We start from the raw sequence: 13,981 nt of genomic DNA, 5'->3' as shown, positions 1-13,981 counted from the left end.
AGAAATTTTTTAAAAAGCTTCACAGGCAGGATAAAGTAGAATATTAAAACATGAGTACAATTTAGCTAAGGGGATATGGGAAATAAATGAATTTTAGGCAGAAGTATTTTTAAGTTGCCTCCATGTGTAGGAAAGAAAGTAATTTAAAGGAGAATTGATTAGCTGAGATAAAAGAGAAGAGTTTTGAGATCTGTTGGCAATTTTAGAAGCATATGTCTATAGAGAATTGAAGAGTGAAAAATCTCAAGGAATATTGGGTTATGAGCAGAATGTCTTTTAAATTTTTTTGTCTCTGGGCCTGATTGGAGTTGTACAAGAATTAAATCTTTTAGGCAGTTTCACACCTTATATATTAGGCATTGCCTCTCAGGAAAAGAACAGTTAGAAATCTATTTCTCATTTATGTGGACATGGAACTGTGTAGAACAAGTAGAAGTAACTGGTTAAGACATCACTACAGAGTCTTTAGTATATGTCAGACCACTTAAAAAATTACACATATTATGGAATCGCCTTGAGTACATTAAAAAAAAAAAAAACTGTAGAAGATTCTTTTAAAATGACATTTTGGAGACCTAATTTAAAAACTCATTTCAAGTGTTTTCATGACTGGGAGTGAAATACTGATAATGTTAAAAGAAGAGTAATAACATACATTTAGACTGGTTTTGTTACAACTTTATCAAATAAAAAGTAAATTGATGTATGTTTTAATAAAAAGTTATTTTCTTGATTCTAAGGCACATGCTTTTAATTTTTTAACATCTCTGAAACTGTGACATATCTTACAATAAATGGTATGGCCACTACATTTGGCAGTGTTTTGTTTTGTTTTGTTTTGAATTTCATAGTGGTCTAAAAATGTAATGGTTTATCACACAAACAATAATGACTTAGATTCAATGAATACAGTAGTCCATTACATCTTGCTTTGTTAATAAATAGATAAGTTAATACTATATAATTCTTAAAAATACAAGAAATACTGACTATGAAGAAAGTTCTTATACATGAATAAAACAATAAAAATATCAATGAGAAATTTCAGCATTAACAGAATAAATGCATACTGTCTTAAAATGATGACATTTCTGCATGTGTGTCAAATTTCAAAATAAAGATCCATATTAATGATTAAAACTAAAGCTTATAAATCATAGGACAAAAAAACAAGTATCAGACACAAGTGAAAATGAAACGTTTACACTCTTCTCTTTATTTTTTATCCTAGACAATAGGTAATTAAAGAAAGAACTAAAAAGTACATCTGGGATCACCTAGTTCAATCACTTTGTCTTAAAAATGAAAAGACTAAGATGCATATAAATAAGCCTGCAGAGTGTGCTTCATCGACTAAGAAACTAACACAGAAACTTGGTTTACTGGGCTCAGCTTCCTGTTTCTGTTCTACTCCATCACAGCTGTGCTTTTTCCAATCTGCCAGGTGACAGCCTGGATCTATCAGCAATTGTTGTGGTGTAGAGATTCAGATGAGCAGAGTGACTGAGATGAAAAGGTACTTAATGAGGAATAAACTAAGGTATTTTAAATTGAGTTCAAAAAGTTAAAGAAGCTAAAAAGTTTTAAGATTATGTTATGTGGAGTATAGCAGCATTTCTCTTCATTTTCAAATATTATGAAGCAGTAAGTGAGAAAAGTACCATAAAAATACTGAAAATAATAATAATTTGCTTCAAATAAGCAATTTGTTTTCATCTGCGAATGCAGTGCCACTTGATGAATACTTTTCCTTGAGCATATTTCAGTTTGTAACCAGACTTTGAGACATCATTATACTTTCTCAAGCAAGTATCCATTTTATTATCCATACTGTATGCTTTGCAATAAATTACATTAATACTGCGTTTTCCAGCATCTTAGACTTCATAAACACTTTTATATACATTATCCTGTTTAATTTTTACAAAAGCAATGTAAGATGACAGGAAAGATATTATGATACCCATATATTACAAATGAATGACTAATTTTCAACTGTTAATGATTAACGTAATTCTAGTTTTGACATATATGACTTAGCACAGTGACAAGTTTTATGAAAGTGGGTGTTTAACTTAAGAAACTTCCATTTTCAACTTTATAGTTATATATATCCATAAACAATGTATGGAAATGCCAGTGGTTTTACATTCTTGTCAACAATTATCAGTCATTTTTATTTTACCATTCTTGTAGTGATATTTGTGATTTTAATTTTCATTTTCTAATAGAAAGGCTGTTGAACACCATTTTATGTGCTCACTTGCCATCCATATATCTTCTTGCATGAATTATCTATTGAACTATTTTATCCACTATAATTGTTTTTCTTAGTTAAAAATTATACTAGTACTTTGTATTGAGTTATAAGAACCCTAGATAGATAGATTCAGTAAATAAGTCATTTATAAGGTATATAAATTGCAAATATTTTCTCTCACTCTGTGGATTATCTTTTTATAAAATTTCCTTGACAGTGCATTTTGAAGAGCAAAAGCTTTTAATTTAGAAAAAAAGTTAATTTATTCATTTTTTTGTTTTTATTCTTGCTGTTTTTATCAACTTTTTATTTTTATTCTTGGTGTTTTAGGGGTTCTGTCTAAGAAATCTATGCCTACTCTCTGTAGCAAAAGATTTTCTCCTACATTTTCATCTAGTAGTTTTACAATTTTAGCCTTTATATTTAAGTCTATGATGCATTTCATGTTAATTTTTGTACACGGAGGAAGATACAATTTGAGTTTCAATTTTTCCATATGGATATACAGATTTTCCAGCTCCATTTATTGAAATGATTTTTCTTTACTCCATTGAATACCTTGGAAACATTGTCAAAAAATCAGCAACTATGTATGTGTAAAGCTATTTGTGAACTCTCGTTGCATTGATCTATGTATTTTATACTTTAACCTACAGCACGTTTTCTTGATTACTGCACCGGTATAATCACTTCAAAATCAGGTAGTGTAAGTTCTCTGGCTTTGTCTTTCAAAAATAAATGACGTAAACTCTTCTAGTTTATTTAAATTTCTGTATAAATTTTAAAATCACTTTGTCAATTTGTATAAAAATGCCAATTAGAATTTTAACAGAAATTATAATACATTTATATATAAATTTGGGAAAATTGTCATCTCAACTTATTTAGGTCTTTGCTTAGTGGGGTGTTTGGGCTTCTAGTGTACCCATCACACAAACATGAACATTGTCTCAGGGGATCCTTGGGAGTCACTTTTTCAGCAAGAAACCTCTATGGCCAGGGGCACCTTTCCCTGAGTTGTCCCTGGGCCCACTGGGCTTGTTCCAGTGACTTGGCCTGGTGGCTGCACTCCGCTCACACTTGCACTCCTAGCCCAGATCCTATGCCTGCCAAAGGCAAGCCAGTCACAGAGTGGCAAGGGGTACATGAGCAAGCAAGCGCAGGTCCTGGTCACTGTGTAGAGCCAACCACTCCAGCTGCTGCAGTGGGGCAGGCAGCTCCAGGCACTGGCTCCACAGAAGCCTGCAGCTGGATCTGATGCACCACAAGTGATTTCTGCTGTGGGGACCCACATCTGGACAAGAGAAATGCGGTGGTGCCTGGAAGCTTGGAGACACCAGAAACTGCAGAGTCCTAAAGAGGGTGTCACACCACTGGCCCAGCCCCTAGGCCTATGCTCCCCAAAGGGCCACAGCTCTTATTTCCTTCTCATGGCTCGTAATGTGGTGAGCAACGGTAGAAGCATGTTTAAGCCCTGTTTTTGTTACAGCTCTTTCATTCTCATCATTTGTCAGGTCCTAAGCCTTTATCCTACATCTAGGAAGAATGAGGTACGCGGACAACTGGAGCATAAGCAAGGCAAAGAGGTGCTTTACTGAGTGACAGTACAGCTCTCAGGAGACCCAAAGTGGGTAGCTCCTATTTGCAGGCAGGTCATCCCATCTTCTGCAGCCATCAGCTGAAAGGAGACCAGGAGTGGGTAGCTCCTATCCGCAGGCAGGGTATCCTCTTGTCTGCCCGAGACTGGTTGAGGCCAAGATTTATATGAGCTTCAGAGGCAATGAAGTACATGCTGTTTGGTTCATGGGTGGCCATGAGTGGACCTTAAAAAAGCACCATAAGTTCTCCGTCCGGTCTGCAGAAGTTGCAGCCAGACCCCCAGGCTTCAGGCTGTCCCTGGCTTGAAGGTGGGGTTTCCCCAGGACCGGCGCCTTTCTGCCCAGGAGACTGTCTCCTGCAGCCATCAACGTGCCATCCACTGTGCCCACAGCACCCAGGCTGTTCGTGCCAAGGGGCACCTGCAGGCCCACACTGAGCTGTCCTAAGCCCCCCACTAAGCCTCCCTCTCACGCTCATTGGTGCCCAAAATCTGGAGGAGGCTGTGGTGACAAGGGGCTGGTATGTCAGCACTTCCTGAATAATGTGCACACATTGCGGGCTTGCAACAGTGCCCAGGCTCGGCCTCAACTTTTCTCTGAAATCTGAGTGGGCGCTGGGAGCTGGGAGAGGCCAGGAAGCAAGAGCAGGCATCTTCCGTCCTGTGGGGGAGGCGGCTTCTCAGGCCCCAGAGATCACAGGCATGCCCAGGTCCACAGCCATGGCTGAGTGGCCGCAGCTGCCCCAAGAATGGCAGGGATCCCACCTCTTCAACTCAGAATAGGGTGTGGCTTCCACCCATTTCTGACTCCTGCCTTCTTCTCCCTGGAGTGCACAGCCCTAGCACCACCTCCTCCACTGCAGCCAGTGTCTTCACAGCAGCCACTCCAGATGGGCTGCAGCTACCATCAATTGTATCCAGTAGATAATTTTTTTCAAACCTCACTCCTGTCCCAGCCTTTGCCCTTTTGGAGTTGCTAGTGCCTATTATTTCCCTATTTATATCCATGTATACCCATTGTTTAGCTCCCACTTAGAAAATGTGGTGTTTGATTGTCTGTTTCTTAGTTATTTCACTTAAAATAATGGCCTCCAGCTCCATCCATATTGATGCCACATGAATGGATAGTATTCTATGACTGTGTAGTATTCCATGTTGTATATGTATGTTTTCTTTATCCAAGTATCCATTGATGATGGATACTTAGGTTGATTATATGACTTTGCTATTGTGAATAGTGCTGCAATAATAATATACATGGGGAGATTTTTTTTTTTTTTATGTAACAATTTCTTTTCCTTTGGGTACATACCCAGTAGTGGGGTTGCTGGGTCGAATGGTAGTTCTATTTTTAGTTCTTTGAGAAATCTCCATACTGCTGTTTTCCAAATATGTTATACTAATTTATATTCTCACTAACAGTGTATAAGCATTCCCTTTTCTCTACGTCCTCACCACCGACTGTTTTTTTACTTTTTTATTTTTTATTTATTTATTTATTTATTTATTTATTTATTTATTTATTTATTGAGATGGAGTCTTGCTCTCTCACTCAGGCTGGAGTGCAGTGGTGCGATATTGGCTCACTGCAACCTCCGCCTTCTGGGTTCAAGTGATTCTCTAGCCTCAGCCTCCTGGGTAGCTGGGACTACAGGTGCCCACCAACACATCCAGCTAATTTTTGTATTTTTAGTAGAGACGGGGTTTCACCATATTGGCCAGGCTGGTCTCGAACTCCTGACCTTGTGATCCACCTACCTTAGCCTCCCAAAGCGCTGGGATTGCAGGCGTGAGCTACTGTGTCTGCCCTGTTTTTGACTTTTTAATAATAGTCATCTTGACTAATATGAGACAATATATCCTTGTGGTTCTAAATTACATTTTCCTTATACTTACAATTCATGATGTTGAGTATTTTTTCATGTTTATTGGCCATTTATTTGTCTTGTTTTGAGAAATACCTGTTCGTGTCCTTTGCCCACTTTTTAATGCTTGTTGGTTTGTTTTTGTTTTTGTCTTTTACTGTTGAATTGTTTGAGTTCCTTGTATATTCTGTTCATTAGTCCCTAGTTTGCAAATACTTTCTCCCACCCTGTAGGCTGTTTACTCTATTGATTATTTCTTTTGCTGTGCAGAGGCTTTTTAGTTTAATTAAGTCCCATTTTTCTATTTTTGTTTTTGTTGCATTTGCTTTTGAAGTTTTAGCCATAAATTCTTTGTCTAGGCCAATGTCCTGAAGAGCTCTTCCTTCACTTCCATTTTGTACTTTTATAGTTTCAGGTCTTATATTTATGTCTTTAATCCATCTAGAGTTAATTTTTTGTATAGGGTGAGAGATAGACATCTAGTTTCAGTCTTCTGCATATACATATCAAAGTTTTCCGGCAACATTTATTGAATTTAACTGCAGCACAGCCACTCTTCTCCTGCCTGAACATTTTGGCTGCAGCCCTACCCCAATGGAAGGCAGCCCCTCACCAACCCCCCTCCCCACTGCCTTAGTAGGAGTAGCAAAGGCTGGCAGTTGTAAGGTACACAGTCTTCTGGCTCCTCTGTTCCACAGCAGCAGTAGCAGTATCCATCTTTGAGGTGCACAAACATGCCTGGCCTTCCTGCTCTCTCCCCTGGCACTGTAACAGTAGCAGCTGTTCAAGAATCAAAAGCCTGTAGAATTCCACATGGGCTTGAGTAATGCCTCTGCCCCATCTCTAGGCAGCTCCCTGTGTTTGACTGCAGGTCAGAAGTCGGGGGTGTGTCGAGGGAGCTCTTCAATTGCTAGGATTTAAAAGTCTGTGGAGCTCAGGGAGATCAATCACTCACTCACACACTGCATCTCCTCCTGGCTTCCCAAGATCCCAGCTCACTAGACATCCTTGCTTTATTCTTCATTGCTTTTCATGATTCTCATTACTTCTCTGATGCACTCCATTGTGCTATCTTAAGTGATCTATTCAAAGTATAAATATTTACTCACTATTTTGATTCATCTCCTTAGAAGTGTCGACTAGCTGCTTCTAGTTAGTCATCTTGAACCGGAACTTCTGTTTTAGCGCACTTAAAATTTTTATGCCATAGATATTAGTTAAATTTTGTTTGTACCATATACGTACAGATGCCTTTATCAGACCAAAGATGTTTCCTTTTACTGAGAATCAGAAGCGCCCTTTCTCTGGTACTTTTTTTTCAGATGTGTCCTAGGTATCCAGTGGCTCCGATTTCTTCAGTCTACTTCCCTAAGCTCCTCTGTGCAGAAAAGAGACAGGGTGTACTATCAAACTTTTAGCCACCTTTTGCCCTCCTGCTCTAAAACTCAAAACAAAACAGTAAAAGGTTTTTTTGTTTTTTGTTTTTGTTTTTGTGTTTTTTCGCTATGGTCTTGAATTTTGTCAGAATATCCCCCACCTTGGTATGGAATCATTTTCATTTAAAAGCACCTGAAAAATACCAAATACATGAAGGATACTCTGATCTTCCCACTTCTTTCTGAACACAGTAGATAACTTCCCTGTAAAAGATATCCTCTCTGTACCAGCAGAAAAGAAATATTTTTCAATGGGGAGTCATAGCTGAGATAATTCTGTTCAAACAGAATTTGCTAAAATAATTTTTGCTTTCCTTATGCCTTCCCTCAGGATTTATTTACTTTTCTGTAATTGCCTTCCTTTGTTCAACCTCATAAAAGAGCATTTAGGTTTAGTCACTTTTTAAGGTCTTCATTTTCTTTTTTTTTTTTTGTATGAGGGCTCTCCTGTCACATAATACTTACATTAAATTAGTGTGTTTTCTCCTGTTAATCTATCTTATGTCAATTTACTCAGGCCCAGCAGGACCCTAAGAGAGTAGAGGTAAAGTTTTGCCTCACCTTACAATCTCTTGCCTGATGTTCTGACTCTTTTGAAAACTCTGCTTGTTTTTGTTTGATCTCCATAACAATCATAATTATATTTTGTACTTTGTCCAGAATTTTAGATGTTATTTTCAGGAGAATCATTTTGTTAGGAACTTTATTCCATTGTACTTTAAGTAGAACTCCAATTTAGAAGAATTTTGAAACAAAGTCAAATCTCACATTTGGTATGACATACTTCAGTGGAAAAATAGCAATAGAAAGACCTCTTGGAATTTACATAGCTGTTAGTAAGAGGTTATGTTTCCATACATGAGAAGGTTAGACATTCAGGGCAATTTTAACCAAATGTCAAAAGACAGAGATTCCCAGCTGACATTTATACTTTGTTTATTTTATTATCCACAGGGTATTTCAATCTCTGTCTTCTGCAAGGAATATTGTCACCATTTTGTAGATAAACAAATAAGGCTTTGAAAACTAGTTAACAAACACAAGTTTCCCTAAATAAAAAATGGCAAGATCCTTAGTGTAGTCTTATGACAGTAACTTTTATGGAGTATAAAAGTTGATCTGTAAGTGCAGTTTTAGCTCAGATGTGAACAGCTGGAAAGAACATTTTTAAATTCTAATTTGAGGACAAAATCTTAACAAACTACAAATTAGCAGTTTTTCATGAACTAGTCAGAGAACTGTGATTACACAACTTGAAGAGAAATAGGTATCTGGAAAAATAAACAGAATCTAAGCATCTGCTTACCTGAGGTAGACGTTATAGCATGTCATATAACCTGATAGGAAGATTAAACTAAAAATATTTAATTGATTGCTTAAAGCCCAGCATGATCTAGATTGAAAATCTGAGGCCCATGGGTTCCACAGACATAGGATCAGCCCCATCTCTTGTAGCCTTTCTTCCATGAACACCATCAATATCTCAAAGAGAGAACTGAGTGGAATTCACACAACCCCCTCCCCCACCCCGCCCACCTCCGCCACCATGGTACTTGTTGGAGAAGGGAAAGAACAGTCGCTGCTGAAATCTGCTCAGACCCATCTAAGCAATATTTGTTATAGGAAAAAACAACAGAGGAATTAAAAACCTGTATTCTTGGGCACTGAAAAAATTTCTACAGCTGTTGGGAGACAAATGTAAGGCCCCACTACAGTATCTACCCAGAGTCATCTTCCCTACCTCACTTAGGTAATAACATGCCTTAAAATAAAACTGTAAAGAGTACCTGTTTCATAGCTTGAACACATTGATACCTATTGTAGTATGTTAGTGGAATAAAGGGAAATAAAGCTCTATGTGAAGAAAGGTTAGGGATACTTGTGATGGCCATACCCAAGGGACTCTGTTTCATAGTCCTGCCTGAGACTGAGGTTTAATCAGAACATCAGAGAAGACAAGCCCATTTCAAACACTTCTGGTAACAAGACTTTATTAAAAATAATAGAGGGATATAGCCAAGGCCTAAGAAAGAAATAGAATTTCTTTGGAGAGCAGAGCAATGAGTAGACCTAAATCTAAGTGAGAAAACAAAAACATTATTTTACTGAAGGATTTTGAAGTATTTTGTGCCCACAAAAACAAAAGACCTTTAATTTGGCAATCATATCAACATAAACTTTGAACCCAGCCAAATTCATTGCTAAATTAGTGAACTCCCACAATGAAGGCTTACCAGAAAGAAAAGTTTATAACTTATACATGTAAAAAAGAATATTTACCATATTCCCTACCATCCTGTACATGTCTGGATTTGGCAAAAAGATTCTAAGAGGTACCACAAAAGAAGAAAAAAAAAGAGATTCTAATGAGAGAAAGAAATTATCAGAACCAGAATTAGATATTCCACAGATGTGGATATTCAGATTGAGCCTTTACAATAGCTATGATTAATATGTCAAATGATATAATCAGAAAAATAGACAATATGCAAGATCAAATAAATACATTCAGCAGAGAGATGAAAACTATAGGAACAAAATGGAAATCCTAGAAATCAATCGCAGTAACATAAATAAAGAATTTTTTTGGCAGACTCATCAGTAGACTCAATACAACAAAGGAAAAATTTAATAAATTAGAAGATAAATCAATCAAAATCACTCCAATTAAAATGCGAAAATTAATGTAATTGCTTTTTTAAAAAGTGGAGAATTTAATCCATGATATTAAGTGGTGTATCGTACACAGAATTGTAATTTCAGAGTGAAAAGAAAGAATAAAGCAACAGAAATATTTGAAAAAACAAACATAATTTATATTTGAAAATAATTTATATTAGAAAAAATAAAAATAATATTGTATATAAAATACACATATATAATTGGCATCACGCCTCCTTATACATGTGTATTTTTGTTTTTACATATGTAACTAAAAATGTAGTTTATTCTAAACATGTATAATCATTCTTTTTCAAATAACATTTTTAATTTACTTTGTGTGCCAAGTAACAGAATTTTTTTCGTGATAAATTGGTTTAAACAAACTATACTAGTTCTGAATGCAATTAAAAAATAAGAACCTCTAATTTTTGTCGTGAGAGAACTTTGGGAGCACTTATCAAACAGATTAAATTTCAATAGTTCTAACGACTACAGAAATTAAATAGAGTCAGGCTCTAGCTTTAGGGCCCATTTTCAAATGAGAGTTTTGGTGAGAAGGGATGTCTTTCTCGTAAAAGACTTGAAGGACAAGACACATATCAGAAAAATGAAACATATGTCTATGGGCATAAAAACTTTATAAAAAGACAAACAAATAAGCAAAACTTCAACCCAACAAACATGCTAGAAGACATTTAGGTTGCTTTGATTTTGGCTATCCTGAGAAAAGGCATCATCATCCAAATCATAGCAGTAATCATGTGAAAAGTTAGATTAGAACTCTGGATTGTAGGCAACAAAGTTTTATTGAGGATACAGTAATCTGGAAGGAGAGCATCTGTTTTCCATATGCACAGGTACAAGCCTCAGTGGACTCCAGGTAAAACCTCAGGTACACAAGGAAAAAATTGTAATTTAATTCAGATGATTTTACCTTAGCAGAGTAAAAGATGTGAATCCATCTGGCCAACTTTCCCTCTACCTTTTAAATATACACTTTACAGAAATTACTTGATGGCTTTTCAGTAGCATACATTTTAGACCCACAAAATTGTCACTTATTGTTATTTTCACCCATGAGCATTCTATTCACACCTTTAAAAGCATATTTTGAATTTTATATTACTGCAATTTTATTTACAAAATTATTGGTGTTATAAAATCTAACATAACACTAGCAGTCAATTTTTACTGAATTGCCATTTACCCATTACTGATCCCCATTTCTCTGTGCAACTGTAAGAATTCTAAGAAAATACATGAATGGAAAAATAGATGTAGATATTATAACTATTTGAAGTTACAAAATTATCTTTTTCCTTACATCTCACAATACACTATACATGTTTTCTGATTAAGTCTCACTGTTGTCCTTTTCATCATAAAGGGAATAGGGTGATATTTACATGATAAGAAAGTCCATGTGTCTACTGTTAAGTATTCTAAGACATTCATTGAGGTTCGTCTCACCATAAGACAAGGCTGTGCTGTGGTTAAGAAATAAAAAGGAAAATGGAAAAAAAAAATCTTTAACAGAATCTGCAGACACAGAAGGAGTTGCAGGCATATATAAATTCATGGAGTTTGAAGAAAACAGAAAGCATTGTTTTTTAATACTTGAGAGAGATTCCTTTGAGAATCTGATGACAATTACAAATCTTTCTTATTTGTAGCAATTCACAGTTACAAGGACTCTGAAGAGGTAGCATTTATTATTCCTTTATGTTTTCATGAACATTATGATTTAACATGTGTTTTGAATAAGTCAGGCATATTATAGGGAATTCAAATAGACATAAGCTTACACCCTGAATACTAAAGACCCCATTCTACTCTGTCCTCTTAACACTCAATCCTCCCTCTGAAACATACTTGCTGTTACTGACTTTTTGTGATTCCATCCATAAATATTCTATTTAAATACAAATGTATGTAAAACCATTACTTATTTTTCACATCAATATTTGTTTGTATGCACATAAATCTGGCCCTATTTATTCACTTAAAAATATATCTTATAAATGATTTCATATTAGTGCATGCAGAACTACCTCATCATTCAAATGCCTGCCAATTATGCTACGGAATATTGATCACAATATACTTAATAGTCCCCCAATTGATCAGCATATAAATTGTTTCTCAGCACTTGGTGTTGCAAATGATTATACACTAAATATTCAGGTACATATTGGTAGTATACTTCTAGGATAAACATCCTAGAGAGTAATGTACATTTTAAACTTGATAGATATTTCCAAATTGTCCTATAAAATACACCATAAAATTTAATCCCATAAGTAATATATGAGACTGTCTATTCTCCCCCCAGTTTTTTTATTATTATCTTTTAATTATTTGACAATCTGATAGGGGAAAAAACCTGTTGCTTGGTGTGGTTAGATGTTTCATGATTCTTATACAAGTAAGCTGAATGTCTTCTCAAATGTTTATGATCATACTTTTTTTCTCTCTCTCTTTCTTTCTTCTTTTTTCTTTTTTTTTTTTTTTTTTTTTTTGGAGACAGAGTCTCGTTCTGTCCCCCAGGCTTGAGTGTGCAGTGGCGCGATCTAGGCTCACTGCAAGCTCCGCCTCTCGGGTTCACGCCATTCTCCTGCCTCAGCCTCTGGAGTACCTGCGACCACCATGCCCGGCCAATTTTTTGCATTTTTAGTAGAGACAGGGTTTCACCGTGTTAGCCAGGATTGTCTCTATTTCCTGACCGTCGTGATCCGCCCGCCTCGGCCTTCCAAAGTGCTGGGATTACAGGCGTGAGCCACCGCACCTGGCCCATACTTTATTTTTCATATTGAGGGATTAGTCTTTTCCTTATTGATTTATAGACACGTTTAGACCACTATTCATTTGAGACCATGGCATTCCATTTTGGTGCTGCTGAATTTGTATTGACTTGGAAATTTTTCATAGATTTCTATCAGTAGCACTAGGAGCCATACAAAAACTCAATTACGTTCGTGTCTGGTGCTTTGTAATATTAACCTTCCTGATCTACTTGAATTGTTAAGTGAACAGTGGAGCATTCTTGCCTACTTGTGTTTTAGGCTTCATTGATCATAAAATTGTTTCGATCATATTTCTTAAGATAATAGAAATTAATAATGGTATGCAGTAAAATTACTATTCCTGAAACAAACTTGTTTCCCGTATAAAATATTGGCTTGTACGTCCCAAATCTGCAATTGGTTAGAAAGAAAATTGTCATAAAGTGAGCTTTGTATGCATAAGATTTTGAAACTGATACAAATTCTGTAATATCAACTCTGTTTCATCGATCTTGGTGTTGGGGCTTAGAAAATGATATACCCAAGTGTAGGCCTTAGAAGCAAAGTCTCTCTCTGACCTTTTCCTGCCCTTCTGTCTCACGGTCTTCATTCTCCTGAGCCTAGCCGTAGAAACTAGAATACCTCTTCCACAAGGCAGGCTATGGGAATCAGAATTCCTCTTCCCCAAGACAGTCATACAGCCTAAAAACATTACTCTTACCTTCTCCTGCCTTTCTGTGTAAGAGCTGACCATAAAGAAATTCTCTTACCTACTTTGCTTGACACTAGGTCATAAGACCCCTATCCCAGAAGAGGTCCTGCCCCATAACCTGGAAGAAAGAAATACTGCACAGACAGGCCAAGATGAAGCCAAATAGACAAGCCTTGCTGTTTTCCTATTCAGTCTATTCCCATTAGGTCATAACCGTTTGTGTCTAATTATAGTTCTACATGGCTGTTCATTCTCCATTGAAACTAAGAATAAAAATGCATCCTTTTTTCCCTGTATCTTTAGGTCTTAATTTCTGAAGTCTCCCATGTCATGTAATACTATGACTATGTTAATTTGTTGTGTTTTTCTTTTGGCTACCTGTCTTTTATTATAGGAGTATTGGCTGTGACCTTTATGATGAGACGGAAAGGGATCACCTTTGTACCTCTGCACTGGGAAATCGTGTCACATTTTCAGATACTTCATCTATAACTTGGCTAAGCATTGTTTATGTTCCCTAACAACCTCTAATAGGCCGTGAGCCAAAAGAGCAAGGTCTATATGTGCCCAGAAACATAACAGACAGACTAGTTGTAATTTTTCAATATTTCTCTTGAGATGATGAAAAAAACCTGTCTCTTTGTAGGCAATCAAAACAGAGTTT

At 36.3% G+C, this 13,981-nt stretch overlaps 1 long non-coding RNA gene across 1 annotated transcript in view, besides 1 other annotated feature; it reads right to left on the bottom strand.

Moving 5' to 3' along the window:
- The window catches only part of LOC124909491 (uncharacterized), an 84,567-nt gene that overhangs the window by 41,391 nt on the left and 29,195 nt on the right, over positions 1-13,981 (bottom strand). The gene's annotated exons all lie outside the window — the stretch shown is intronic.
- Positions 6,411-6,705: a silencer, noted in NCBI's record as "tiled region #10497; K562 Repressive non-DNase unmatched - State 24:Quies". NCBI's record gives its function as "represses a minimal TATA promoter and a strong SV40 promoter by Sharpr-MPRA in K562 cells {active_cell/tissue: K562}" and the evidence as "EXISTENCE:reporter gene assay evidence [ECO:0000049][PMID:27701403]".

Source organism: Homo sapiens, chromosome 3 (assembly GCF_000001405.40).
Source record: "Homo sapiens chromosome 3, GRCh38.p14 Primary Assembly".
In the NCBI taxonomy this organism is placed as follows: domain Eukaryota; kingdom Metazoa; phylum Chordata; class Mammalia; order Primates; family Hominidae; genus Homo; species Homo sapiens.
Note: the sequence above shows the minus strand (reverse complement) of the source record. Positions and strands in the feature narration are given on the sequence as shown.